General features: G+C 44.0%; 1 annotated feature.

Annotated features, from left to right (window-relative positions):
- Positions 1,282-1,576: an enhancer, noted in NCBI's record as "tiled region #9460; K562 Activating DNase unmatched - State 12:CtcfO". NCBI's record gives its function as "activates a minimal TATA promoter and a strong SV40 promoter by Sharpr-MPRA in K562 cells {active_cell/tissue: K562}" and the evidence as "EXISTENCE:reporter gene assay evidence [ECO:0000049][PMID:27701403]".

Below are 1,917 nucleotides of genomic sequence, written 5' to 3'. Positions count from 1 at the left end.
TTTGGGAAGAAGGGTGATCCTGGAAGTGTTCATATGACTTGCTCCCCTTTCTCCTTGAACCAAGGAAAGCCTCTCTTACATGAGATATTTCATGTCCGCAACTGAATCTGCTATATTATAAAAAATTGGAAGAGTCAAAAATGTCAGAAGAGTATGTTCTTGTTTTCTTTCCATTGGAAAGAGGGTGGACAGAGCTGGGGGAGGCGCACAGCAGCAGCGTGGGCGTTTGCAGCCTGTCCTGCGGGAGGAACGGGTGCTGCTCGCTCCCTGCTTCTGAGTAGGCTGAGATCACTCTCTTCCTTTTCATTCTCACGGGGCAAGAGCCTTGGAACATCTCTCTGAAGAATAAAACAAATCTTTTCTGCATGTATAATTGATATAAATTTGATTATATTGTACTTTTTATTTCGTGTGTGTGTGTACATGAGATTACATGTACATTCCCTTTCTCCCTTTTCCTTTGCTTGTCTCCCTTTTCTGTCCCCCCACCCCATGTCCCCAATTACATCAGGTCTCCCCAACCCCATGTAATCCTTTTTTTTTTTTTTTTTTTTTTTTTTAGACAGGGTCTCATTCTATCACTCAGGCTGGAGTGCAGTGGCACAATCTCGGCTCACTGCAACATCTGCCTCCTGAGTTCAAGCGATTCTCCTGCCTCAGTCTCCCAAGTAGCTGTGATTACAGGCACGTGCCACCACTCCTGGCCAATTTTCGTATTTTTAGTAGAGATGGGATTTCACTATGTTGGCCAGGCTGGTCTCAAACTCCTGACCTTAGGTGATCCACCTGCCTCAGCCTCCCAGAGTGCTGGGATTACAGGCATGAACTGCCGCACTCGGCCTTCCAAGGTAATCTTATATTAACAACCTGTAATGTATTCTTCCATATTTTTTCCTATTCATTTAATCTCATGTACACACACACACACACACACACACAAATACTCATAGAAGCTTTTTTGATTAATTTTACAGTTGGAATCATATACACTTTTCTGCATGTTGCTTTTCTCACTTAAAAATGTCCTGAGAAAATCTTTCCAACTCAATGGATGTAGTTCATGCATTCCCAACGGGAGTGACAGCGTGCCCAGAGAGGGTGAAAATTGCTTCTCAGAGGATGTATGAAAAAATCGTACTCTTTTTTTACGTATAAAGCACAGAGACACATACAGTACCTAAATAGATATGCTGTTTGTTTCTGTATGTTTGTGGTATTAGAATTCCATGGAGGAGCAATTAGGGGGAAAATGTCTAAGGAGGCTCCTAGAAGGTGATAATAGAAAAAGGCTGAGAAACACTGGTGTCACCTTTTACACTTTTTAAAGTGGCTGCATGGTATTTCCTGATGAGTCTGCACCCTGACTGCAGCGCCCCCTGGTGGAAGGACAGTCACTTCGTTTCCAGGGTTTTCTCCAGTATGAACACGCTGCAGTAACCGTTCTTGCCTACGCCCTTCAAATTGGTGATTGTGTTTCTGTGGGACCCATCCTCATGACCAGAATTGCTGGGTTGAAGGGATATGTATTTTATTTTATTTTAGTATTATTTTTTCAGACGGAGCCTTGCTCTGTCGCCCAGGCTGGAGTGCAATGGTATAATCTCGGCTCACTGCAACCTCTGCCTCCTGGGTTCAAACAATTCTCCTGCCTCAGCTTCCAGAGTAGCTGGGACTACAGGCGCCTGCCATCACACCTGGCTAATTTTTGTAGTTTTAGTAGAGGAGGGTTTTTGCCATGTTGGCCAGGCTGGTCTCGAATGCCTGACCTCGGGTTATCTGCCTAACTCCGCTTCCCACAGTGCTGGGATTACAGGTGTGAGCCACCGTGCCCAGCTGGAATATGCATTTTAAACTTTAAAATAAAAAAAAAAACTTAAATTGTCAGATCACCTTCCATAAAGCAGTAACACTTCACAC

The sequence above is a fragment of the Homo sapiens genome, chromosome 8, assembly GCF_000001405.40.
Source record: "Homo sapiens chromosome 8, GRCh38.p14 Primary Assembly".
Classification (NCBI taxonomy): domain Eukaryota; kingdom Metazoa; phylum Chordata; class Mammalia; order Primates; family Hominidae; genus Homo; species Homo sapiens.
This window is presented reverse-complemented; position numbering and strand designations above follow the sequence as displayed.